At 45.7% G+C, this 27642-nt stretch overlaps 1 protein-coding gene and 1 pseudogene across 2 annotated transcripts in view; both read right to left on the bottom strand.

The window, feature by feature from the left end:
• Positions 1-2895: 2895 nt before the first annotated feature.
• SORD (sorbitol dehydrogenase) overlaps positions 2896-27642 on the bottom strand; it is a 53991-nt gene continuing 29244 nt past the window's right edge. The window contains exons 4-9 of one of the 2 annotated variants that reach the window (NR_034039.2): positions 18855-19099; positions 14692-14810; positions 11835-11900; positions 11029-11204; positions 7643-7764; positions 2896-6716 (exon numbers count right to left, since the gene is read on the bottom strand). Coding sequence is in view for 1 of the 2 variants with exons in the window: in NM_003104.6 (NP_003095.2) it covers positions 6551-6716; positions 7643-7764; positions 11029-11204; positions 11835-11900; positions 14692-14810; positions 18855-19014 (809 nt within the window). In the remaining variant the exon portion in view is untranslated. The remainder of the gene's footprint in view (positions 6717-7642; positions 7765-11028; positions 11205-11834; positions 11901-14691; positions 14811-18854; positions 19100-27642) is intronic. The other variant, NM_003104.6, reaches the window with a different exon arrangement.
• On the bottom strand, positions 26424-27313 carry LOC100422669 (tyrosine 3-monooxygenase/tryptophan 5-monooxygenase activation protein zeta pseudogene; annotated as a pseudogene).

The following is a 27642-nucleotide window of genomic DNA, read 5'->3' as shown; positions in this document are numbered from 1 at the left end:
GGGAAGGCAAGTTGGGGTTGGCCCAGGAGAGCTCTGGCTAGAGCCTGTCTGTCCCTGTGCTGTGCTGAAAGCCCAGCTGCTCCCCAGAACCAGCAGCCCCAGTCCCCAAAGGCCAGAGCTGAGTCACTTTCTTCAGTCTGCCCTGGATGACTAGTTCCTTGCCTCCCAGCTTTTTCCGCATTCACCTTCTCACAGATCATGTGTTGGACTCCTTCTGCTTACTGATAACAGTTTTTCCAGAAGTTCCTGAGAATCATTAGACCTTAATACTGTCAGCGCTGGCAGCCCTATCCCATCTCACATGATGAGTGGCAAGAGATATGATTCCCTTTGGTATTCCTGAAAACAGATAGCACAAATATGCAAGAGCACTCGAAAATCTACACAGTATTGTTAAGCTATATAAGCACAGCGTTACATACACATATGTGCCCACAGAATGAAACAGCAATGTGACAAATGCTTTCAAATCACTCAGAAGGCAAAGTTCCTTAAGGGTTCTACAAATTGCCAAGTCTCTTGGGGTCTGAGCATCTAAGATCTGCATATTAACACCTGCTATGGTTTGAGTTTGTCCCCACCAAAACTCATGTTGAAATTTGATCCCCAATGTGGCAGTGTTGGGAGCAGATGGCTAATGGGAGGTGTTTGGGTCATAAGGACAGATTCCTCCCGAATGGCTTGGTGCCATTTTCGCGGTAGTGAGTTCTCACTCTAGCAAGACTGGATTCTCTCAGGAACGGATTAGATCCACAAGAGTGGGTTGTTACAAAGCCAGGACGTCCCTTGAGTTTGGCCTCTTCACACATGTCTGCTTCCCCTTTGACTTTCTCTGCAATGTTATGGTGTAGCACAAAAGCCCTTACCAGAAGGCAGTGCCATGCCCTTAAACTTCCCGGCCTGCAAAACTGTGAGCTAAATAAACCCCTTTATTTGTAAATCACTCAGTCCCAAGTATTCTGTTATAGTAACACAAAATGGACTAAGCCAGTACCCAATCCAAGTCATTTTATGCCACATGGATTTGCACCTACTTGGAGAGGTCAGAACCAATAAGGAACATTCTACACATACCACCCTTACTTCTTCCTGGTGATTTGTTAAAGTTTGGTGAATGGGCCGGATGTGGTGGCTCTTGCCTGTAATTCTAGCACTTTGGGAGGCCGAGGCGAGTAGATTGTCTGAGCTCAAGAGACCAGCCAGGGCAACATAGTGAAACACGGTCTCTACTAAAATACAAAAAATTAGCCAGGCGTGGTGGTGTGTGCCTGTAATCCCAGCTACTCAGGAGGCTGAGACAGGAGAATCTCTTGGATCTGGGATGTGGAGGTTGCAGTGAGCTGAGATCACGCCACTGCACTCCAGCCTGGGCGACAGAATGAGATCCTGTCTCCAAAAAAAAAAAAAAAAAAAACTTTGGTGAATGGCCTTTCTTTAGAGTTGCAGGGGCTCCTGCCCTGAACTTCTCAGTGAAACAGATCTCAATGGTCTTATGCTCCTCCCTCTCCCCCATTGTTTCTTTTGCTGTTTCATTGCTGATAGTGTTCAACAGCAATATGCCCCATCTTTGTATATCATAAGAAACACTAATTCTAGGTTATTACAAGCAGAAATATTTTTGTCCTGAATAACATTGTTACTGGGCCAAAAGATAGATCAGGAGTCCCAGACTTTAGTTTCCTGAAATCGCCAGGTCAGGCACAAGGGGAAGGGGCTCCTGGATATTCACTAACTTGGGTGGGCCTAGCCAGGAGAAAGACAGCAACATGTGTTCTGTACTTTCTGGGAAGATCCCTGAAGCCATCACGGAGGCTCCCCAACTTCCGAGTCACCCATCTGTTGCTGTGGCAGTGGGAATGGATAGGGCATTTTGCTCTCTGTAGGTGGGCAAGCTTCCTGGGCTCTCTGTTTTGCCTCCCTCTGGCTTCTTCCTCCTGGGCCCTCTGCTGTGTGCCACAGGGGATCAGGGATTCTCACCTTCCTGAGGACCAGTGGGGAAGAGTGAACATGGCAGCCTCAAGGTTAGCTGAAGCTGCCATTTGCCCAGCCTCTTCCATCCCAACCATGTCAGTGAGCTCAGGTCTGGTGTAACTATTGCAGAATGCCTGTAGTAGGGAACTCTGGAAGTGTATTGGGCTGAGGTGGGATTTTTCCCTCCCCACAATGCCCTGAGCAATGGAAGTGGTGAGGGGTGAGCGAGTCAGGCTGCTGAATTCTGTTGGCATTCCCCCCTTGTGTAAAATGGGGTGTTGGGGTGGGGCAGCCTCTGCTTGGATTTGGTTGTAAGATAAACCTGGAGGAGAAAAAAAAAGTTTGGTGAACGGTACCCAGTGTCCCCTGGAATTGAGGTGGAGGGACAGGGGTAGGGAAGGCTTCCAGTATAAGTTCATTGATGGCGGCTCACTGCTCCACAGTAGCTGGGCCACAGTTCCCTGTGAATTCTGTGCCAGTCCTTTACAGGAGCTGTTTGTTGTCATGTCCTGGCAGTAGTCCCAGAGCTAAAAGGGACAACCAATTTTACTGATAAGGAAACTGGGGCCTGGAAAATGGCAATCTGTCCAAGTTTATGGGTCTAGGCCCCTGCTTTCCCAAGGGTGGCCTGAAGCCAGAGAGCCAGTGGCTTCATGGCCTCATCCTCAACAGCCCCTGTGAGCTACCCAAGACCCCAGAGTCTTCCCACATCACACAAAGCCTGGGGCACCCCCAGAGATTTTCTTAGACAGTCTGAATGTCAATACTGTGTTTTCTTGTCTAACCAGGTCACCTTAAAAATGTGTGTACCCTTAACCCCAGCTATTTTCATTCTAAAATATAACTTCAAGAAATAACATATTAATAACTTCAGGAAATAACATATTAATAACTTCAGGAAATAATGAGTCAGGAGAACAAAAATATGCAACAAGGGTTGTCATTGCAACTTTATTATTAGAGCAAAACTCTGTAAACTATCCAAACACTCAAAATACTGCAATTTGCTTTATAAATGATAGTCTATCCACACAATGGGATGTGGTGATTTAAAATAATGATGTGTATAATTATTGACATAGAAAGAAATTTAGCCATTTATTAAATGAAAACAAGTATGTTTGTAAAACGGTATCCAGAAGACAAAGGACCCAGTTTCTTCAACATAACAGTGGCATGTGAACCAAAATGTAGGGGGAACTATAATAAAGAGGCTTAAGAAAGAAGAAAAAATAAAAAATAAAACAGGCTTAATATATCAACCGCATGCAATATGTTTAGATCCTGATTCCAGAAAAGCAAGTGTAAAAAAGTAAAGTTTTGGCTGGGCATGGTGGCTCATGCCTGTAATCTCAGTGCTTTGGGAAACTGAGGCAGGAAGATTGCTTGAGGCCAGGAATTCAAGAACACTCTGGGCCACATAGTGAGACCTTTTTAAATTTTTTTCTCTACAAAAAGTAGCCAGGCATGGTGGTGCATGCCTATAATCCCAGCTACTCCAGAGGCTGAGACAGGAGGATCACTTGAACCCAGGAGTTTGATATTGCAGTGAGCTCTGATCAAGACCCTGTCTTTGGGGGAAAAAAAAGTAATTTTTTCTGTTTTTTAGATGAGGGAAAATATGGCATGGATTGACGGGGTATTAGCTATTATGAAATTATTATTAGTTTTGTCAGGTATAGTAATGGGAATTATTTAATAATTGTGATTTTTTTAAAGTCCTCGTCTGTTTATGAGTAAAATGAAAAAAGTAAAGTACACTCCCATTAATGTTTACAAATGCATGCACATGTTTGATATGTATAGATTCATGGAAAGGGGCTGCAGGAAGCCCAGGAATTCATTCCTACCACCACCACAACCAACTAAGTGCTCAATCAATATTGATTGACTCAGTGAATCAGTCCCGGAACCAAGAATGTGAATTCCCCACAAGCTCCCCGACCTTGGGAGGCCCAGCAGCCTCTGTGTGCTCTGTCACCAGTGCCTGGCACTTGATTCACGCTTTCAGTCAACACTGAGGTCCCCACCCAGTCAGCTCCACGAGTGCTAGGGAGTGAAGACGTGTCAGGGCGGAGAGCTGGGAAGGACCCCACAGGCAACCTGGAAGCAGCGGACTGCTCCATGGACCCTAAAGGAGAAAGAGGACATGTTGGCTCCTCTAATTCCCTCTTGCAGCCCACCTCTGGCTACAGCAGATGCTGGTGTGAAGTCACCTCTGCACTCAGTCACTGGTTCTCTGACATCTTCCCCACCCAGTCTCCCTTGTGTAGCACAGTCCTGCCTCCTCCCTCCTGACTCCTATTGTGTGTGCAGGAGGCCTGTTGGGGAGTTGGTGGAGCCAGAGGTTAGGAGAAAGAGAGGCAAATAGGATTTATGGGATATTTGCCTTTCCTAAGAACTGTCCTCTGCTCATGATGTCAACCTAGGTTCAAGGTACAGAGGCCAAATAACAGGGAAGAAATGCTCAGAAATTAGCAGCCAGCTGGGACAGAGGCTGGGTCTGGCTACAGGCGGTGGGGCCTGGTCAGGGTCATCTCTGGGTGGCCTCCTCCACACACTGACTTCTACCTAGGGCTCAGGGAGGAGGAGGATGAAGGGGCAGCAGTGAAATGGCTTCACGAGGCATGCATAGGCTGCAGGAAGTGCCTCCAAGACACCAGCAGACATTCTCTGGTAGAGCCTCTGCCCCTCACTCCCAGCTTCCTTCTCTCTTAAAGCCCTGGCTGAAGCAGACACTGGAGCTCCTTCTCTGGGCACCTGAAAGGGGGCACAGGGCGTGAGGAAGATGTTTCCACCAAGACTGCTTAGTGCATCTTCTCATCAGTAGGAGCTGCTTGGTGGGGGTGGTGGCATGGGGAGCATCATTTGTCCTCTAGGACTGGACACCTCAGGCCTATGAGAGGCAGCATGTTGTAAAGGATTTGATGTCAGGATTCCTGGGTTCTGTCTAATCCTGGGCCATTGACTAACCCACTGTGTGATTTGCCAAGTCACTTCCCCAATCTGAGCCTCAATTTCCTCTCTCGTTAACTGAAGGGTTGTGTTGTAAGACAATCTTAAGGTCTCCTCTGGCATTTATATCTTCTTTATCTACAAAATGATTGTGTATGTGGCTTGTCATGAGGATTAGAGATAATTCATGTCAATGAAATTATATTTGGTACAGAAAATATGTAACCTTCAAAAATCCTGGGATCCTTCCCTCTGGGAAATGGGTAACCTGAGTCCATTCCCCACTAAACAGGACCATAAACAGCAGCATGAGTCAGATACCACCACCAATATTTATTACCCAAAGCAATCTGAAAGAATCGGGCACAAGGTCATGGCTTTCCCAGGTTACAAGAAAATCAGAACCTCTTCAAACTCACCCTCCACCCATAGCCAAAGTAAGGAATTAAAGGCTATAGCTCAAGCTATGTCATGGCTACTATATCCTCATTCTTGATGAATAGTCTCAAAGTCACAAGTTGGCATGATGCGATTTAGGTCTAAATCTTACCAGAAAAAAAACCCACCATTAAAATAAGACAAGTTCATAGAAATCATTCCAACAGAAAGATACCAAGAGCCTTTACTGGTAATGAGAAGAGGAAAGATTTTCTGTTTATAATAACCAGAAAGAAATGGAATTGTCTAATAACCATCAATTGAGTATGAGCCTAGTTGAGTTGAGTATGAGTCTAGTATGGGATGCTAATCTTCTGGGGTGGGGGAAGTCCTGTGAGCTAACCAAACCCTCCTGGTCTCTGGTGAGGTCCACAAGTAGCAGTTTCCTGGTTGCCTGGTGACAAGGGACCATGCTTAGGGGTGGGCTGGGGCATGTTGGGGAGGGGGTCCTTCACTTGGCAAGTGAAATAACACAATTCTCAGAAGCTGTAGAAGAGGCAATCTTCAAACAGTGCTGAGTAGTCCTCTTACTTTTTCCACATTAGGGGAATGCAAACTGGTTTAACCTCACATGACATTTCCTTTTTTGTTTGTTTGTTTTTTTCATTTGATTGGTTTAAAAATTATCCTGGATCCAGGAAAGTGATGCCTTTTCTTATTCTCCTTTTATCATCAAAACAAACAGCCAATATGTCTCTAGAAACATTGCGTTCTAAACTGGAAGTGCTGACAAGCCTTCATCCCAGACCCTGAGTGGCAGATTTTCATGAAAATCAGCTTCTGGGCCAGTTAAGTCTTCATGAAGTTATCTTTTCATAACTCAGCCCTCATTCCCCTCTGGGTCAGTAGCAGTGGAACCAGGAAACCCAAGGGCCAGATTTCCTTCCTCAATGAAGGCACTCCAGGAAGAAGGGGAGTTCCTGGCACCTGCCTGCCAAACTCTGCTCTACTTGCTGAACTTTGCTCAGCATGAACAGGGCATTCTGGCTACAAGTTCCCCCAAACTATCCCAGATTGTATCTTTAAGGCACACCAATTCCTCTGCTTAAGGACTTCTGTTCACAATGAATTGTATTAGTTATTCTTAACATTCAAAAGAGAAAGTTCTGCATCAGAGCCCACCCATGTCCAGCCATTGTGCCCTGAGATCCCAAGACTGTGGGGATGAGGGCAGAGCCCATTAACATCAGGGATTCTGGTCACTGGGGTCACACTTGAGCATGATTTTCAACCCCAATCCCTTTTTAAATGTTTCAAAGGCCTCCAGAGCTTTCTCCAGAGGAAACCTATGGGTGACGAGGGGTTTTACATTCACAGACTTGGACGCAAGCATCGAAATCGCCACTGGCCACCTGTAAAAGAGCACGAGCATTATATTCAACCTTCAAGAGGAAAGAGCCAGGTGCCCCAAACTACCAAGCACTAGATCAGCTTGGCCGTATTTATTGATAGCACTGTGGTTCTGCAAAGCCAATTTTACAGGCCAACAACCCAGGAAAGGACCTTATGGCTTATGATTCAGGGGTACAGAGCCTATTTGCAATTGCCCCCACCCCTCACCCACCCGCTCACTCTGCCACGTCTGCCATGGAGCCTAGAATTCCTGTGGCATGAAGGTACAAGGCACATGGTGGAGGCCACTGGGAAAAGGCAGAGAAGCCGTGGGGAGGCAGCCCGGGACAATCCAGTCACACCCACTAACAGCTCAGCTTACTGGAAAACTGGCGCCCTGATGAGGGCATGGAGTTACAGCCTCTAAAGCCAGGAGTAAGGGACACTGCTGGGGAGAGGGGTCCCAGCCAGAGGGCCCCAGCAGGGGAGAGGGTGGAGCTGCAGAACATGGGTGGGGCAAACTAAGACCCTTTCGCTCCCCAGGGTGGGCCCTAGGGCTAAGGAACGGAAGCCACAGGACTTGATTTCTTCCTTTTGTCCTCCTTTCTCTCCTTCTTCCCTTTAAAGGGAGAAAATGGAGACCTGGCAACTTAAGAAAATAGGGGGAAAAAAGGGGCCTGGGGGGGATAAGCAGCAGACACTCAGTAAGACTATGCTTCAAAATCCCCTCCTTCCCTCCCTCCATCCATCCTTCTGTTCCTCCCATTCTTTAACTGGCAGTGAGTGTTCTCTCTTTGGATCCCTGTTATATCACACAGCTATCAGTGTGGCCAGGGAGTGCCCCCCATGAACAAACAGGCAGAGACTCATGGGCCCAGAGGCTGAGTGGGGCCTGCCATGGTCTTGCTGGAGGCTGGGCATCCCGGCTCACCCACGGCATACTCACGTGTTGCAGTATCGAAACACGCCCTTGATATCCACCTCCCGGATGGCTGCATGCAGTAGGGGTACGGTGGTCATCTCAGAGCCCAGCCCCACAAGCACGAGGTTCCCACCAGAGCGAGTGGCCTGTAAAGGAGGTAAAAACAAGAAAGCTCAGAAGATAAGAAATACTGACTTCCCACTTACAATAACATATTGTCATCACACAAGTATCTTCTGGTTGCATCAGCTGAGCATCCAAAAATTCCTGAGAATGTGATTTGTGTACACTGCTGAACTGCTCAACCTGCCAACCAAACTTAACTGAGCGGGAGAGTAAACACGGTTTTCTTTAAAGTGTATTGTGAAAACATACACTTAACCCATGGAGAACCAGGCACAGTGGGAACATCTTCCAAAGCTTTACAGATTCGGGACCCAATATTGGCTTCAGCCACCTCCACAGTCTAAGCACCTGTTCCTCCCCCAGAGCGCCCCTCCACAGGCAGCACTTTCATCAGAGCTGGAAGGAACCACTGGCCCTCTAAGCTCACCGGTGGTGAGAAAACTATAAACATGAGACAGATGGGCCACTTGTATTCTGTGGCTTAAAAAAGGCTTCATACATGCATGCAGGCTGGCAGTTAGAAATCTTTTTGTTCCAGAGATGTTTACCTCAACAGTATGAGCCATAATGGGTTTTGTCTTCCTTGAATGTTTATCTGCCTTATCAGTTCCCCACTTGGAGTGGGTCACAGGCAGCAGTGAAATTTCTCCTGAAAATTTCCCCAGAACTCCCTGTGAGTGCTGTGCTTGTTCCAGAGCTTTCTGGGGATCACTGTGCTCAGTGCGGTGAGAGACAGAAGAATGGATAATTCAATCATGCTGATTGTTCATTATAGTCAGCAGCAAGCATTTATTGGGACCATTCTGGGTGCTAAACAGTGGAACTAGAGAAAGGCACATGTCACAGCCTCCAGTTCTGAGACGAAGGATACACCACGATCATAGCCTCCACTTCTGAGATGGATACACCATGGAGACAGGCCTGTGGTGCCGTGAGCAAGAGGTGAACTCAGGGTTTGAGTGGTGTGGGAGTGACTCCCAGCGCTGCTGCTTCAGAGCTGTGGCACCCTGGACGTGCCCTCTCAGCCCATTTTCTAGGGAAACTACTTCCTCATCAGCACTTCCTCTCTACCTGGTGGTGAGGAGGAACACCAACTGGCCATTCCAAGCTGCCAAGATGCCAGCAGTTTGCTGACCCCAGGTCAAGGAATGCTGGAACCACCTGGACACTATCCTGTAGGTATGGCATCTGCACCAAGGATATGACATCAATTCTACCCCAAGGCATCTGCCACGTCTCATCACAAACACTATCCAGTCATAACCTGGCAGGATGGCGATGCTCAGATTTGTCCATATTTGGTCCAGCCACCTAGCCTGCTCATTGGCGGGGTGGCCTATAGCATTCTACAGCACCCGTCATGCGTGACGTCAGGAGAGACACTGCTTCAGGCCTGGTGAGGCCCATGGGTCACATTCAACTCCATGCCTGCCTCAGGTAGCCTGGCAACCAGGCCCCCACCGTCAACAGTGGAAATGCCAACTGTTCCAAATGCTCTAAGGGCAGGGCACAAGAGGAAGGAGAGCCATGTCCTTTAAGTCCCCCAGCTTATACTGCCTCTCTGCGGGGTGGAGGTCACTTACCTGCTGACAACTTGAAGACAGCAGATGCAACCTACTCATGTCTTAGCCCTCAAAGTGCCCAGCACAAAGCCTGGCACATGGTAGGTACCCAAGACATACCATGGGTAGATCAATCACACACAGATCCATTGTTCCTCTCTGAGCTTCGGCTTCTTTTTGCCCCTTCCCACATGGCGACCACTGCCTATGACAGTGAAGCAGAGGGCTGGCCGACTCCAGCTGAAACTCACGACACTGCCAAGGTGGCACCCGCTCCTCCCTCTCCCCCACTGCTTCCTCAGCTCCCAAGGCCGCTGGGCAACTTAGTAGGAGGAGGTCTAGGCAGCTCTGCTACTCAGCTTGGTGGGTCAGCCTTCCCTAGAATGTCTCATGTGATGCAAAGTGCCCTCCTGCTGTGAGCCTCAGAAGGAAGGAGGAAGCCCACGCTACCTGGGGAGGCTGTCTGGGAGGCAGGGACAGGAGTCCCCTGTGGTGGCGGCTGCCTGCTACCCTCTCCAGCCCTGGCCCTGTCCCCCCACCCTAGCATGGTTGTTCGTGCCCTCCTTCCCTTCCTCTCCTAAGCAGCGGGGCAACTCAGGCACTGGGGCCTGGCAGGGCTGGGCCTGGGCCTGACTTGGCTTGCCTCAAACAAACCACAAATCCCTCAGCATAAAATGGTAACTGGTTTTCAGGGCTATTGTGCAGATTAGGCCTCATGTTTATAAAGTACAGCAGAGAACCTGGCGTACAGTAGGGCTTGGAACCTGGAAGTTGTTATTTTCCCTTCGTTTCCTCATACTTTGATCTGTCAATGACACTCCCTCCCACCACCTCCAACTTCCTGCCAACTTCCCATAAGTGGCTGGTGGGTCGCTGAGGGGCGAGTCGGGCACTGGCAGCTTATCTGTTCCTAGGTCTGGGAGACAAAACAAGCAGTAGTCAGCTGTGACCCTGGAAAATCACCTCACCTTCATGACTAACTAAATGACTGTTATTTTATATAAGTGACTAAAGACTGCAGTTTTCCTCAATAAAATAAGACGGGGATTTCCCACATACAATTAAGGCATGGTTCCCTGTTTTTCTTCTTGGTCTTTTTACCAAAACTACTGCACTTTTAACAAATATGATCATGAAGCCAACCCCATCCCCAAAGTGTGTGTCCTTAACATTTTTCAAGGCCCGTGTATAGCTGTTATCTTGTGTGAACCTCAGATGGCCCAATAAGGATGTAAGGCAAGTTCAAGTACAGTCTCCGCACTAGAGATAAGAAAACAGAGATAGCGCCTGTAATCCCAGCACTTTGAGAGGCCGAGGAGGGCGGATCATGAGGTCAGGAGATGGCGACCATCCTGGCTAACACGGTGAAACCCCATCTCTTCTAAAAAAAATACAAAAAACTTAGCTGGGCATGGTGGCAGGCGCCCGTAGTCCCAGCTACTCGGGACGCTGAGGCAGGAAAATGGCGTGAACCCAGGAGGCGGAGCTTGCAGTTAGCTGAGATCGAGCCACGGCACTCCAGCCTGGGCGACTGAGTGAGACTCTGTCTCAAAAAAAAAAAAAAAAAAAAAAAAAAAAAAGAAAAAGAAAACATAGATGGCAAAAGATGAATAAGTTTGGCTTGGGGCTCACGCAGCAAGCTGGTAAAGAAGTTTGACTCCCTACTTCTGCCTCCTTCACTCCCCTATGCTGATTCCCCAAAGCTGCCCTCAGCCCACTCACGTAGATGCCCGCCTGGATGGAGGCCTCTGCCCCCGTGCACTCGATGGTGACTTCCGGCTTGCACCCCAGCTGACCTTCTACTTTCCTGGCGATTTCCTGAGGGCTCTCCTTGGAGATCTGGAGGACTAAATCAGCCCCAATCTCCTTGGCTTTGGACAATCGGGTAGCAGACAGATCTGAAGGTAAAAAAAAAAAAAAAAAAAATTCTTTCAAACAAGAGAAATCTGATGACTCATTAGGAAGAAAAGAAAATGGAGATGTAAGATCTGATGGCAACAAAGCTCTCGTGCAATGGGTGGTGGTGTTGAGCCCAACACACATACTCTTCACACCAAGCTTGTCCAACCTGCAGCCCACATGCAGCCCAGGATGGCTTTGAATATGGCCCAACACAAATCTGTAAACTCTCTAAAAATATTATGAAATTAAAAAACAGTTTTGTAAAGTTCATCAGCTATCATTAGTGTTAGGGTATTTTATGTGGGGCCCAAGACCATTCTTCCAATGTGGCCCAAGGAAGCCAAAAGATTGGACACCCCTGCTCTACACCCTCATATACCCCCATATCCACCATACAGCTACACACAGACACACACACACACACTCTCTCACACAAACTCTCTCTCTCTCTGATAGCTTCTCCTAACACAAAACACACACTCACACTCTTCTATATTTCCACAATCCATATGACACTACACACTCACCCCCTCCACACTGTCACAGATAACCTCTCCTCACACATGCACATACAGTAGGACCCGCTGTTTCCCAGTCAAGGAGATTGATAAAGAACAAAGTCTTACCAGTCACCACTACTTGAGCTGCTCCCATTGCTTTGGCCACGAGCAAAGTGACCATCCCGATTGGCCCTAAACAAAGCAGAAGATGGAATATGTTCGTGAAATATTAAACATCTGCTCTCCCACTTGTCCAGGCCATGGATAGGAACCATATCTTTTGTGTGTCTCTAGCATCTATCCCAGTGCCTGGCATGATAAGACCTTAGCGGCTGTTTGTTGAATGCAGAAGTGAATAAATCCATGAAGAATTATTCTCTACATAAAATACGCTCCTAGTGCTGGGTTCTATTTAATCCTCTCAAACCTCAGAGCTAAAATTTTCCTACTTACTCCTGGGCACTAGTGGAGATAATCTCAAAGAACCACAGGATTCAAGGAAACACAAACTTATTCAGAAAATAAGAAATCTCAGAAGGTCTGGACTTGTTTTCCTGGTCTTTCTTTGCCCCTACCTTTGTGAGAACCCATCACACCTCCCCCAGAGAGAGACATATTCCTTTTAGGTGCCCTCTGAGGACCACCTGGAGAGGGTTCTTAAGTGAGCTGGCTCCCTGGGTTGGCCCTGGTGCCCAGATAGCCCCAGGATACTCAGGTATCCAAGGATTTGCCTGAGACACCTGCTTCCCCATGGTATCTGCATGCTATGTGACACTATGGTTTTAATATAAAAATCAGACCCACGGAATGAAAGCAATGCAGACTATCTTTGGGGGTTTACTTTTTGTACACAACCCCGAGAACAATTTTGTGAGCTCCCTCAGAAAACAAAATACTGAAAAATAATACCTGAAATGTCCAACAAAGCATGATTTAAAAACTACATGGCTACTAAAAATTACGCCATAACTCTTTATCTATTGACATGGAAAAATGTTCACAGTATTTTTTTTGAGACAGAGTCTCGCTCTGTCACCCAGGCTGGAGTGCAGTGGTGCAATCAGCTCACTGCAACCTCCGCCTCCCGGGTTCAAGCAATTCTCTCACCTCAGCCTCCTAAGTAGTGGAGATTACAGGCACCCACCACCACGCCTGGCTAATTTTTGTATTTTTAGTAGAGACGGGGTTTCACCATGTTGGCCAGGCTGGTCTCAAACTCCTGACTTCAGGTGATCCGACTGCTTCAGCCTCCCAAAGTGCTAGGATTACAGGCATGAGCCACCATGCCCAGCCTGATTTTTAAAAAAGAGTAGGTAAAGGAAGCGTATTTAGCATGGTCTCAGAAAAAAACTAACTAACTAAAAGATTCTATACCCAAATATTAACAGTGGTTCTCTTGGGCTAATCGGTGACGGGATTGCAGGTGAATTTCTGTGTGTGTGTGTTGGGGGCAAGGCATGCATGTGTGTGGTATGTGTGACTTATTTTCCTTTTCTATGGTAAAAAGGTACTGGATCCATGCAGATTTTTATAAGAATCTGTCACCTGAGTCCCGCAGTCTGCTAGCCCATTGTGGCAAGTCTATTCTACATCCATCACCCCTCTTAGGAAGCCGTGTGATCACTTATTTGGCCAGCCAAAGAAAATCACAAACAAGTATGAGGAACACCAGATCACACCCACAAGGAGCGTGAGCGTACTGTCTGGGTCACCAGAATGATTTGGTCTAAGGCTGCTAGGGCCTGTTCCAGATGGCTTGAAACAGGGGATGAGAGAAGGCAGCTAGCTACAGCCCTACTGCAGGCAGATTGCTGGCTCACAGTGGTGTGGGAGCAGACCACTGCTCACTCCTCCCACTGGCCGGGAGCAGGGTCTACCTTATTCATAGATGGGACTAGGCCATCACTTTGCTGGTATAATTTGAAAGTTCCAAGAGTTGCCCTTCCCTTTACTATCAAAAATATTTCTCTAAGGTGGAGGTTGCAGTGAGCCAAGATCGCGCTGCTGTACTCCAGCCTGGGCAACAGAGTAAGACTCTGTCTCAAAAGAAAAAAAAAAATTTCCCTAGTTTCCCATCAAGGGTTCAAAAATAATCGCCAGATTAATTCCTTTTTTTTTTTTTTTTTTTGAGACAGAATCTCGCTCTGTCACCTAGGCTGGAGTGCAGTGGCACAATCTTGGCTCACTGCAACCTCTGCTTCCCAGGTTCAAGTGATTCTCCTGTCTCAGCCTTCCAAGTAGCTGGGACTACAGGGGGTGCACCACCACGCCTGGCTAATTTTTGTATTTTTAGTAAAGTTGAGGTTTCATCATGTTGGCCAGGCTGGTCTTGAACTTTTGGCCTCAAGTGATCTACCCGTCTCAGCCTTCCAAAGTGCTGAGATGAGCTACCCCGCCTGGCCCAGATTCATTCTTTTTGTTTGTTTGTTTTGAGATGGGGTCTTGTTTTTTTTGAGACAGGGTCTTGTTCTGTCACCCAGACTGGAGTTCAGTGGCACAATCATGGCTCGCTGCACCCTTGACCTCCCAGGCTCAAGTGATCCTCCCACCTCAGCCTTCTGAGTAGCTGGAACTACAGACACACACTACCACACCTGCTAATTTTTGTATTTTTTTGTAGAGACGGGGTTTCACCATGTTGCCCAGACTGGTCTCAAGCTCCTGGGCTCAGGTGATCCACCGGCTTTGGTTTCCCAAAGTGCTGGGATTATAGGCAGGAGCCACTGTGCCCAGCCAATTCATTCTTTAAATGAACAAAAAGGGCTATGTTGCCTAGGACATATAACCCTAGTTAATATCATGTCTGCAGATACTCATTTGTTTAGCAAAGTGCTAGTCACTGAGGGAATGGGACACTGCAATCCTCCCTTACCCAGAAGGATTCTAGAACAAATCTCAAGCCTTGGAGGGGGAATGAGATGGGCAGAGGGTTCCCTGAATTCCCAGTCAATGAACCCGCAACAGGGTGGCTTCTGTTTCTTACCAGCTCCACACACAAGGACCTTGTGTCCCAGGGTAACTCCGCCTCTCCTGCAGGCATGGATCCCCACAGAAAGTGGCTCGATCAGGGCGCCTTCCTCAAAGGTGACATTGTCAGGAAGCCTGAGGAGTCAATTGACACACAGAGATCCTCTGAGTTAACTACAATGCTAACAATAGTATTATATATGCCCAATGTCACTGTAATAACAACCATAGCTAGCATTTATCGAGCATTTATTTATGTGCAGAGCAATGTGCTAAGCAATTTATATACATTAACTCACGTAAATCCCTGGAATAGTTCTGTGGTAGGTACTATCATTCCCATTTTACAGATGAGGAAACAGGCGTGGTGGGTTAAATGACTTGCCCCAACCATCCAAAGCTAGTGAGGGGCCCAAAGGGTTCAAATTAGAAGACAGATATGTTCTCATCACAGAACCCATGCCACAATGTCCCCATCTGAAGAAGGCAACATGGTTTTCTTTGGATAAATCAATTCAGTGAAATGAACACATTATGTTTTCTTTAATGTGCTATCCAAGCTACGGTATGGTGGTTATCATTAATAAATGAAAAGTTTATTTAACAAGGAGTTAACATGGCCACGTTCCAGCATCTCATCTGCTTCTCAAACTTACAGCCTTTTTAGTTTCACTTTAGCAAACAATCCTGACTATCACCAGTTTTGTAGAACAGTGATTTAGCAATGGGCATCACTCTGATAGTCGCCTCCCATATTATACATTCCAGAAGAACCACATCTGAGGACAGTGGCTGCCCTGCTGACCCAGGACCAGTCAAGAAGAAAAAAGGACCTGTTCCACAAAGCTGATTAAATGCAGTGTCACCTTCACTCTGGGTTCTAGGTTTTCACTTCCACTGGTATCTTGACCCTATCAATAATACAGCTGATGACGATAGCAAATATTTGCATAAAGCTTTACAGATTAGGAAGCACGCTCATCCATTATCTCATTTAATCCTCATGAAAACCATGTTAGGCAGGTAGGGCAGGCTTTTTTAGAAAACCCTTAGTTTACAGAAGAGGAAACTGAAACTCACTGACATTAAGAGAATTGCCAAGGTTATGAAGCTAGGGAATGAAGGCCAGACTTAACCAAGGTGTCCTGATTCCACATCCTCTGCCTGTCCCATATCAGCTCCATCCTGGTATGAGCAGCTGTGTAGCTAATATTAATATCCAATTTCTGCTAGTTCCTCACTGCCCAGGATTTACCCAGCACCCCAAATCTGCACACACAGGAACAGGAAAACCCTCAAGTTCCAAAAAGAAATAAATGTGACAGCCAAACCATGTGCTCATCCCCATGATCCTTTCAACACTGTCTCCAATCTTCAACAGAATAACTCGGAGTCCTCCTGTCACTGTCCCTGATCCTTGACAGAACTACTCACCAGGCCAATGGAGGCCCAGCTGCCACCCACCACCCCCTTATCCCTTCCCCTCGGCTTCTTTCCCATCACTTCCCCTACTCCAATCCACTCTCCTGCTCTGACTGCGGTCACACTCCTTCTACTCCCCCTAGAAGTATCCCTTCTATATAATAGGAAAAAGGTGAAAATGAAATCGTGAAGATTCCTAAACTCTCTCAGGGACTCCACAGGTTCCTAGACACGCCTGCCCTTCCACATCTGGGCCTCCTGAGGAACTTATAAGGGCTCTATGCAGAGGGTGGCTTGCGTGGAAACTACATCGAGGAGAGATGGGATTGGGGAAGGTGATGAGGGAAGATTGTTATCAGGAAGAATACTCTACTGATTAAGCAGATGCTGCCTCATCCGCCTGCACCCAACACAGCCAACCGTGTTGGAAAGCCACCTGGTGTGGAGGCAGAAGCATGTACAAGGAGTCCTGGAGGCCAGCCCCGCTGCCACTGACCTTGGGAAAACCACTGACTCCACCCTCCCCAATCTTGTCCAGTGGGGGTTGATGGAGAACGAGGATGAGAAGACTCCAAGTTTCTTCCCAGCCCCAACCTTTCATGCTTTATAAACACCAGAGAGTGATGAGGCAACTTGGTAGTTTTTACAATGGGGTTCAGGGAACAGTCCAAATTGGGTAACAGATGATCAAGAAGCCAAGGAGAAGCAGGAAAATAGAAAGAAAATAGATACAAAAATAAAGAGGCTGTGGTAGTATGGGAATCCTAAAAAGACATCAGAGAGGAGGGCTTGGGTCTAGGGAAGAACTGGGGACACAGGCAGAAAGCCCCCTGGGAGGAGAAGAAAGGCAGGGCTGTAGGACTCCCCAGAGACCTTCCTCAGCACCCCCACTGCCACTGCCACTGCCAGCCAGAGCCCCATCATTCCCTATAAACCACCAGCACAAGGCTCTCTTTCAGGCCTACTCCTGCACCTCCATGCCCAGACCACTAGGCCATGACTATGGCATAGCTTGGTACCATTTACTGAGCATTTACTATGTGCCAGACCTCATGCTGGAGACTTGATATGCTTTTCTCATTGGATCTCATCAGTAATTCTGTGAGGGAGGTACCATCACTATTTCTATTTTACAGGCGAGGATATTGAGGTTACAAAATTTAAGTGACTTGCCCAAGGTCACACAGTTGTAATTGGCAGAGACCAGTGGGCTTCACCACTATGCTCTTCTGCCTTCCATGAAACTTTCGTTTGGTGTCTTGACTTGGAAAGGGCCCGAGAAAGATGGGCCCATTCAGGAACCACTTGCTGAAAGGTGTACTCTGCACATGTAACCTGCTTACTTCTAGAGCAGGTTCAGGTGTTGACTTAAACCCATCACAAGGTCTCTGGCCTGTGACTCCTCTCAAGGCTCCCAGTGGGCCCTAGAAAAACTCAGATCTGTCAGACTGCTCCTGTGACTGGCACCTGGCCTCCACCGGACAAGCCCCATCCTGGCTGAAAACCACCACTGGGGCCAGGCTGCGGTGGGGGAAGAATGCATCTGGGTTGGGTCAGGGGGAAAGCGGCACTTCGGCACCCTAGAGCTCCACGGCTGGGGCCATGGGGGGCCACGCAGAAAGGGAGGCACTTTGCTTCCTCCAGACTCAACTTCACAATTTCAGGGGTGAGAATCGGAGTAGGGTAGGGGAGTGGGCACAGGGCAGGAGCTTGAGACTCACAGAGACCCCAGTTTGACTCTTGGTTGTGCTCTGTGCCCAAGTCAATGAGCTTCCTTCTGCCTTGGTTAACCCAATAACGGTGCCCACCTCAGCATTATTCTTGTGGAGATTAAATAAATTGAAGCATGCAAACCACTTATTAGCACAAGGGCAGGCACATAGTAATAATAATTATGACTCTCCATGCATCACCTTATTTAATATTTTGGCGATTAAATGAAACTGAATCAGAGAAAAGTGAAATAATTTCTCCAAAATCACTTGCCAGGAGGGAGTAGATCCAGGATCCCAGAGCTCAAGCCCTGGCAGCACACCACACCTCAGGAAATGTCAGCCGTTGCTGTCATGGTGTGTTGTTGCTATTGTCGAGGTCATTGTTGTTGTTTTTCTTTTTGAGACGGAGTCTCGGTCTGTTGCCCAGGCTGGAGTGCAGTGGCGCCATCTCGGCTCACTGCAACCTCCACCTCCCGTGTTCAAGCCATTCTCCTGCCTCAGCCTCCCAAGTAGCTGGGACTACAGGTGCCTGCCACCAGGCCTGGCTAATTTTTTGTATTTTTTTAGTAGAGATGGGGTTTCACCGTGTTAGCCAGGAAGGTCTCGATCTCCTAATCTCATGATCCACTGGCCTTGGCCTCCTAAAGTGCTGGGATTACAGGCATGAGCCACCACACCTGGCCGAGGTCATTGTTGTTATGACGTTTCTGGTGGTTGCAGTGGAAACTAATAACAGAGGATGAACCACAGGAATTCCCTCCAGGATGTCTGCAGAGGGTGAGTGATTTCAGCAATAATTTTCTATTGTTGCTCTAAGTAAGGGAAACTGAAACTGAAAGACTAAAACCAACCACTGTGAGTCAGTCTTATTCCTAGGGAGGCTACCCTCTCTCAATGCCACCAAGAAGAGTAGCCTGTCCAGGTGATGCCTCATGTTTGGAATTATGAGCTGAAAAGAATAAAGAAATAACCACAGGAAACAGCACCAAGCTAATGAAGGGAAAGAGGTCCCAGGTGACCCAGTGGGACTGTGGACACTAACTTGTAACAAAAGGCTGCATTGTGCTTATAGAACCGGCAGAGGTTCCCGTCATCGGGGGGCGTGGCACAGAAGAAGATGGAAGGTGACAGATTGTATCGGCCCATCTTGCAGAATTCATCATTTTCTCGGGGAGCACCAGGCTCGATGGCAACACGATCACCTGGAGAGGAAAACAAAGATGGCACCATGTCCGAGGGTGGGAGCAGAGTCTGCCCGCTCTTTGGTCTGGTTCTTTGTTTTCCAACCTTTGAAAACAGCAGAAGCAGAGATGTTATGAAGGCTTGCATGCTCATGGGCAGATGCCAGATGAGAGAATCTAGCTTAACGAGCCACCCTCCTCCCTGGGGACCCAGGGTGTCCTAGGCAAGTGAGGAAACTTGGGATGAAGCACAGAGTCACTCTGGGGGAAAAGGACCAGCCCCCTCCTCCACAGCCCAGTGTGGCCTGCCCTTTTTCCAGCTCCTGCAACAAGCCAAGCCACCCTCTATCTCCACAGCCACTTCCCAGCTAAGGCAAGCCAAGTATATTCCCATCTCACACTGCTGGAAAAGGGGTAGCTAATACATGGAGTTTGCGGGCATTTTTTCTTCATCTGTTTGGAAGATAGAAAGCAAAACCTTTACAAAGACAAGAGCTATAATTACAGCATGTTTTATGTCCAGTCTGGTCATTTTTAGACAATAATTAGGAGTCAACTGATTCCTGGTAGTAGAACTGCAAAGGCCAATGACCTGCAGAGGACTCTGGTACAGTAGAGAGTAATACTTGAGGCTTCTGAACAGCCAGCTCTATTATATTTCTATTCTATGCCTCACTACACCTGCTTGGAAACCCAGCCTGAGAACTGCTCTCTAATTGTTATTTTTTCTATCTTTTTATTATGAAGAATTTCAAACATACAGCAAAATTCAAAGAACTGTATAGCGAACACCTGGATACCCTCCTCCTACATTCTTCAAGGAACATCTAGCTATGTTCACTTTATCACATATCTATCCATCTACCCCTCTGTCTCATCTCTGTCTCCTTCCATCAGTCTATCTTCTTTTCCGATGCACTTCAAAGCAGGCTGCAGACATCAGTATACTTCACCCTTAAATGCTTCAGCCTGCATATCATTAACTAGAGTTCAGTATTTGTTTATGGTTCTTTTTTAAAGGTATCACCTAGGAATGCAAACCCCTTTTAAGATACAGAACACTACCACTACCTCAGAAATCTTATTCCTCTGTATCTGTTCCCAGTCAATCCCCAGCCCCATCCCCAGAGGACACCAATGTTTTGACTTTTTTTTGTACCACAGATTAGTATTGCCTGTTCTAGCACATCACAAAAATGGGATCATACAGTAGATACTCTTTTGAATCTTGCTTCTTTCAGTTAGCATAATGCTTTTCAGATTGATCTATGTTGTTGTGGTATTAACTGTCTGGCCAGGTGTGGTGGCTCATGCCTATAATCTCATAATCCCAGCACTTTGGGAGGTCAAGGCAGGAGGATCACTTGAACCCAGGAGTTCAAGAGCAACATAGGAAGACCTCATCTTTACAAAAAAAATTTTTTTAATTAGCTGAGCATGGTGGTGTGTGCATGTGGTCCCAGCTACTTGGGAGGCTGAGGTGGGAGAATCACTTGAGCCCAAGAGGTTGAGGCTGCAGAGAGACATGATCACACCACTGCATTCCCACCTGGGTGACAGAGCAAAACTGTCTCAAAAACAAATGACAGTTTGTTCCTTTTCATGGCTGAATAGTGTTCCAATGTAAGAGTATACCACAGTCAGTATCACCATTCTCTTATTGATGGAAAAAACCTGGTTGTTTCCAGTTTTCTCATTGCTGGTTTTTTGGGGTTTTTTTTTTGTGCATGTTTCTTTGGTTTTTTTGTTTGTTTTTTGAGACAGGATCTCACTCTGTCACCCAGGCTGGAGTACAGTGATGCAATCACAGCTCACTGTAGCCTCAACCTCCCCAAGTTCAGGTGGTCCTCCTGCCTCAGCCTCCCAAGTGAGGAAGGAGAAAGAAAAAAAGCAGGCAGACAGTTAGGGCAGGTCCTCGGTGAAATTCTTTCAAACAAAACAGCAGTCTGGAAAAAATCAAGCTGCAGGCACATAAAGAGCAGCTTGGAAAAATCAAGCTACAGGCACAGATAAGGGAGTGAGGCCCAACATAGAAATGCCTTGGTTCTCTGTGTAATCAGTGCACTCCCAGGAAAAAGTTTCCTCCCCTTTTTGGGCATGTACACAGTGGGCTCCATGAGAACTTGCATGGGGTGGGGTGGAGGCTTGCTTAAAACATGCCCGTAGTTGCTCAGGCAAGAGAAGCTGCACTCTGTGCTTGCCTAATACATGCTTGCAGCTGCACAAATAAGGGAAGCTACACAGGTAGCTACAGAGAAAAGGTAAGTTACACAACACCTAGACAGATAAGGGAAGTTTCTTATAAAAACCTTCGTATTTAACTGGAAAACAACAACCCTCTTTCAGGTCTCCTGCTCTGCTGCTGAGAGCTTTCCTCTTTCACTTATTAAACTTTCACTCCAACCTCACCCTTGGTGTCCATGCTCCTTAATTTTCTTGGTAATGAGACAAAGAACTCTGGATAACACCTCAGACAAAGAGACTGCTACACTGACCCTAGACTGCTTCACCTGTAGGGGGTCATCTGGGATATGTCAGAAGGGTGAGTAGGAGCAGCCCCCCAGTACTTTACTTTCTGCAGTTTCTTATCCATAGTTTTTTTTTTTTTCTCTCAAAATCAAACAAATACCAGGCCTCTGTTGGTCAGTTAAGAGTGGTTAGTGCAGCCACCAGATCTGTAAGACTCAGAGGACAGGCTTGCTGGAGAGTATTTTGTCAATCCCCCATCGCCCTTGGGTGCTGGGAATGTCAGCTGTGTTCCAATCCAGTTTCCATTCATGGAAGACCTAGCCATCACATAGGGTTGGAAGGAGGTCCTGGGACAACTGAAGGTTTCTGGTTGAGGCTACACCTCAGTGTTATCTGAAGGCCCCCGAACTAACTCCAGTTCCTGACAGCCCATCACGGTGTCGGCACCAGGACTTCCAGTCTTTCCTATCACATTTTCTTCCATTCTCTCCTTTGTGACTATCATGTCTCCTATCCCTTCTTTGTATGCTATGCTGAAGGTGTTTTTAGAACCTGGGAATATAATTTTGTTGGATAGAATCAGCCAGTGCCTTAGTAACCAGGAAAGTAACTCAAAGAATTGCTGTTTTTGTGATTTCCTAGAAACAGGGAGAATTCAAGATTTCAGTCTAAATTTTCACCTAGTAAGGACCTTTTTGTCCCCCAATGATAGGCATTCATGGCACTGTATGGGAGGATATTTCACCCTCAGTGAATACCCTCCTCTCCATTTGGGCTTTGTGCCCAGCACTGCCCAGTGAATCTTTTTTCTTTCTTTCTTTCTTTTTGTTTTTTTTGAGACAGAGTCTCACTCTGTTGCCCAGGCTGGAGTGCAGTGGTGCAATCTGGGCTCACTGCAAGCTCTGCCTCCCAGGTTCATGCCATTCTCCTGCCTCAGCCTCCCAAGTAGCTGGGACTACAGGCACCTGCCACCACACCCGGCTAATTTTTGTATTTTTAGTAGAGACGGGGTTTCACCATGTTAGCCAGGATGGTCTCCACTTCCTGACCTCATGATCTGCCCACCTCAGCCTCCCAAAGTGCTGGGATTACAGGCGTGAGCCACCACGCCCAGCCAAATCTTTCTTTCTATTCATAAAACTTTTATTCTACTTAGATGAATTTAATACACATGTTCTTAACAATTATGCTTGGATTGTTCATGAAAATTTCATAAGACATTAAACAAACCTAGCCATCATCTCAAGTTGTTTCCCTGTTAACTATTTTACAGCACATGCATGTTAGGCATGTATCAAAAAAAAATCACAAAAGCAAAAAACCTAAAAATCACAAAAGCAAAAAACCTAAAAAAAGGTTAAATACATGGGTTTTTGTTTTACTGCTGTGCTTGATATACATAAGTAATGAATATCAGCCAATTCAGTTTTACTGCATCTTTACTTTCACATTTGTTCCTCAGTTGTCTAAAACATTTAAATACAAATAAAATGAATGTAGCAAAATTAATGAAAGCTAACAGCAGGTAACTTTACAAATAATGGAATGTGAACTGTTTCTGCCCTTATCCAGAGTAAAATGGGTTACGACTGTCTAAAGGAACACTTCTGCAGCTGTAGTCAAAGGTGTGCGCATTGAGATTGAGTATTCCACAGATATGCATGGTTTAACACGTGGGATCCATGGGATAATTGTTTCTACCACAGCCTTGTAAGTGCTCCAAACCTTAAAGTACCCACAATTACTACACCTGTGACTGGAACCAATGATCCCTTTTACTCCCCAGCAGGACAAACCAATACATAGGCAGTTTTCTTTGCTTAAATATGGAAGTTTCTTTGCTTAGATATGGAACACTGGCCCTGTGAAGCCACAATGTACCAAAAGTACTATGCCAAACATTTATAACTTGTATAAAAATTCCACATCCCCATAATGGCCACTTAAAATGAAAACAGGTAACTCCCTAAATGTTAACTGGCTCTACTCCCCTACTATTAAACATAAAAACCACATGGGAAATATAGAAATTCAAATAGAATCTATAAGTTACCTGGGGCAGTATGGCCATTTTCACGATATTGATTCTTCCTACCCATGAGCATGGAATGTTCTTCCATTGCTTTGTATCCTCTTTTATTTCATTGAGCAGTGGTTTGTAGTTCTCCTTGAAGAGGTCCTTCACGTCCCTTGTAAGTTGGATTCCTAGATATTTTATTCTCTTTGAAGCAATTGTGAATGGGAGTTCACTCATGATTTGGCTCTCTGTCTGTTATTGGTGTATAAGAATGCTTGTGATTTTTGTACATTGATTTTGTATCCTGAGACTTTGCTGAAGTTGCTTATCAGCTTAAGGAGATTTTGGGCTGAGACAATGGGATTTTCTAGATATACAATCATGTCATCTGCAAACAGGGACAATTTGACTTCCTCTTTTCCTAACTGAATACCCTTTATTTCCTTCTCCTGCCTAATTGCCCTGGCCAGAACTTCCAACACTATGTTGAATAGGAGTGGTGAGAGAGGGCATCCCTGTCTTGTGCCAGTTTTCAAAGGGAATGCTTCCAGTTTTTGCCCATTCAGTATGATATTGGCTGTGGGTTTGTCATAGATAGCTCTTATTATTTTGAGATACGTCCCATCAATACCTAATTTATTGAGAGTTTTTAGCATGAAGAGTTGTTGAATTTTGTCAAAGGCCTTTTCTGCATCTATTGAGATAATCACGTGGTTTTTGTCTTTGGTTCTGTTTATATGCTGGATTACATTTATTGATTTGCGTATATTGAACCAGCCTTGCATCCCAGGGATGAAGCCCACTTGATCATGGTGGATAAGTTTTTGATGTGCTGCTGGATTTGGTTTGCCAGTATTTTATTGAGGATTTTTGCATCAATGTTCATCAAGGATATTGGTCTAAAATTCTCCTTTTTGGTTGTGTCTCTGCCCGGCTTTGGTATCAGGATGATGCTGGCCTCATAAAATGAGTTAGGGAGGATTCCCTCTTTTTCTGTTGATTGGAATAGTTTCAGAAGGAATGGTACCAGTTCCTCCTTGTACCTCTGGTAGAATTCAGCTCTGAATCCATCTGGTCCTGGACTCTTTTTGGTTGGTAAGCTATTGATTATTGCCACAATTTCAGAGCCTGTTATTGGTCTATTCAGAGATTCAACTTCTTCCTGGTTTAGTCTTGGGAGAGTGTATGTGTCGAGGAATTTATCCATTTCTTCTAGATTTTCTAGTTTATTTGCATAGAGGTGTTTGTAATATTCTCTGATGGTAGTTTGTATTTCTGTGGGATCGGTGGTGATATCCCCTTTATCATTTTTTATTGCATCTATTTGATTCTTCTCTTTTTTTCCTTATTAGTCTTGCTAGCACTGCCCAAGGTAATTTATAGATTCAATGCCATCCCCATCAAGCTACCAATGACTTTCTTTACAGAATTGGAAAAAACTATTTTAAAGTTCATATGGAACCAAAAAAGAGCCCGCATCGCCAAGTCAATCCTAAGCCAAAAGAACAAAGCTGGAGGCATCACGCTACCTGACTTCAAACTATACTACAAGGCTACAGTAACCAAAACAGCATGGTACTGGTACCAAAACAGAGATAGAGATCAATGGAACAGAACAGAGCCCTCAGAAATAATGCCACATATCTACAACTATCTGATCTTTGACAAACCTGAGAAAAACAAACAATGGGGAAAGGATTCCCTATTTAATAAATGGTGCTGGGAAAACTGGCTAGCCATATGTAGAAAGCTGAAACTGGATCCCTTCCTTACACCTTATACAAAAATCAATTCAAGATGGATTAAAGACTTAAACGTTAGACCTAAAACCATAAAAACCCTAGAAGAAAACCTAGGCATTACCATTCAGGACATAGGCATAGGCAAGGACTTCATGTCTAAAACACCAAAAGCAATGGCAACAGAAGCCAAAATTGACAAATGGGATCTAATTAAACTAAAGAGCTTCTGCACAGCAAAAGAAACTACCATCAGAGTGAACAGGCAACCTACAAAATGGGAGAAAATTTTCACAACCTACTCGTCTGACAAAGGGCTAATATCCAGCATCTACAATGAACTCAAACAAATTTACAAGAAAAAGACAAACAACCCCATCAAAAAGTGGGCGAAGGACATGAACAGACACTTCTCAAAAGAAGACATTTATGCAGCCAAAAAACACATGAAAAGATGCTCATCATCACTGGCCATCAGAGAAATGCAAATCAAAACCACAATGAGATACCATCTCACACCAGTTAGAATGGCAATCATTAAAAAGTCAGGAAACAACAGGTGCTGGAGAGAATGTGTTGAAATAGGAACACTTTTACACTGTTGGTGGGACTGTAAACTAGTTCAACCACTGTGGAAGTCAGTGTGGCAATTCCTCAGGGATCTAGAACTAGAAATACCATTTGACCTAGCCATCCCATTACTGGGTATATACCCAAAAGACTATAAATCATGCTGCTATAAAGAGACATGCACACGTATGTTTATTGCAGCACTATTCACAATAGCAAAGACTTGGAACCAACCCAAATGTCCAACAATGATAGACTGGATTAAGAAAATGTGGCAGATATACACCATGGAATACTATGCAGCCATAAAAAATGATGAGTTCATGTCCTTTGTAGGGACATGGATGAAATTGGAAATCATCATTCTCGGTAAACTATCGCAAGGACAAAAAACCAAACACCGCATGTTCTCACTCATAGATGGGAATTGAACAATGAGAACACATGGACACAGGAAGGGGAACATCACACTCTGGGGACTGTGGTGGGGTGGGGGGATGGGGGAGGGATAGCATTAGGAGATATACCTAATGCTAAATGATGAGTTAATGGGTGCAGCACACCAGCATGGCACATGTATACATATGTAACTAACCTGCACATTGTGCACATGTACCCTAAAACTTAAAGTATAATAATAATAAAATAAAATAAAAAATTTAAAGAAGAAAGAAATTCAAATAGAAGTAACATAAGCCTGTCATAAATTGTAAACAAAAACTATTTGTGGGACAGCATGGATGACAAATGGTCTACTGTGTAAATTTTAGAATGAGGCAGAAAAAAGTTGGAAGTCTGGTTAATTTTCCCCTCCTTCTCCTGCTTCAGCTTTGTCTCCTTAGGTATCTGATGTCCACAACGTCAAGTTGTCTCTCAGTAATTGCATTATTAGTGTTTTGTCTTTGTATGACTCTTCCCTTAATGTATCAAGTTCAGCAATGGCTCCATCAAAAGCTGTCTTTGGAAGACAGCAGGCTTTCTCTGGGGAGTTCAGAATCTCATAAGAGAACACAGAGAAGTTAAGGGCCAGACCCAGTCTGATAGGATGTGTTGGATGTATTTCCTTTTTGCTGGTTTCAAAGGCTTCTTGGTATGCTTGTTGTGACTGATTGACAATCCCTTACTTGTCATCATCAGCGGCAACCTCAGGCAAGTAACAGTAGTACTTGCCTTTCATTTTCAAATAGAAGACTTTGCTCTCTGCTTGTGAAGCACTAGGGATCAAGAACTTTTCCAAAAGAGACAGTATCTCTTAGCTCTGTCTCAATTTTCTCTCTGTATTCTCGAGCCAACTGCTGTTCTATCTCAGCACCTTCTGTCTTTTGTTCAATACTTGAGATGACCCCCCAAGATGACCTACAACATTTTTATAAGCAACTGAGAGAAGATTCCTCTCCTCATTGGATAATTCAGCTCCTTGCTCAGTTACAGACTTCATGCAGGCTGCCATGTTATCATATCGCTCAGCCTGCTCAGCCAGTTTGGCCTTCTGAACCAGCTCATTTTTATCCATGACTGGATGTTCAGTGTCTGAAGTGGGTGGTGGCGGTGGATAGACAGGGGCTCAGCAGTCTCTGGGTGGTGGGGGCAGCAGTGGCAAGGCTGAGACTCTGTCTGCCCAATGAATTTGAACAGTTACTCTATGAGACAATTTTCTTTTGCTAAGAGGCATACTGTGGGGGTAGACTATCAAACCCCAAACCTCTTTCTAACCTCTGCCTGGAAAAAATTTAGAGTCAGAGTTTTTACCTAACATTTCAGTCCCTACCATGCCACCTAGTGAAATGGGATTTTTCTCTGTGGAGGGCACTATTGGCCCTTTGTCCAAGGCCTCTAGTTCCCCAATTTCTCTCC

Source organism: Homo sapiens, chromosome 15, assembly GCF_000001405.40.
Source record: "Homo sapiens chromosome 15, GRCh38.p14 Primary Assembly".
In the NCBI taxonomy this organism is placed as follows: domain Eukaryota; kingdom Metazoa; phylum Chordata; class Mammalia; order Primates; family Hominidae; genus Homo; species Homo sapiens.
This window is presented reverse-complemented; position numbering and strand designations above follow the sequence as displayed.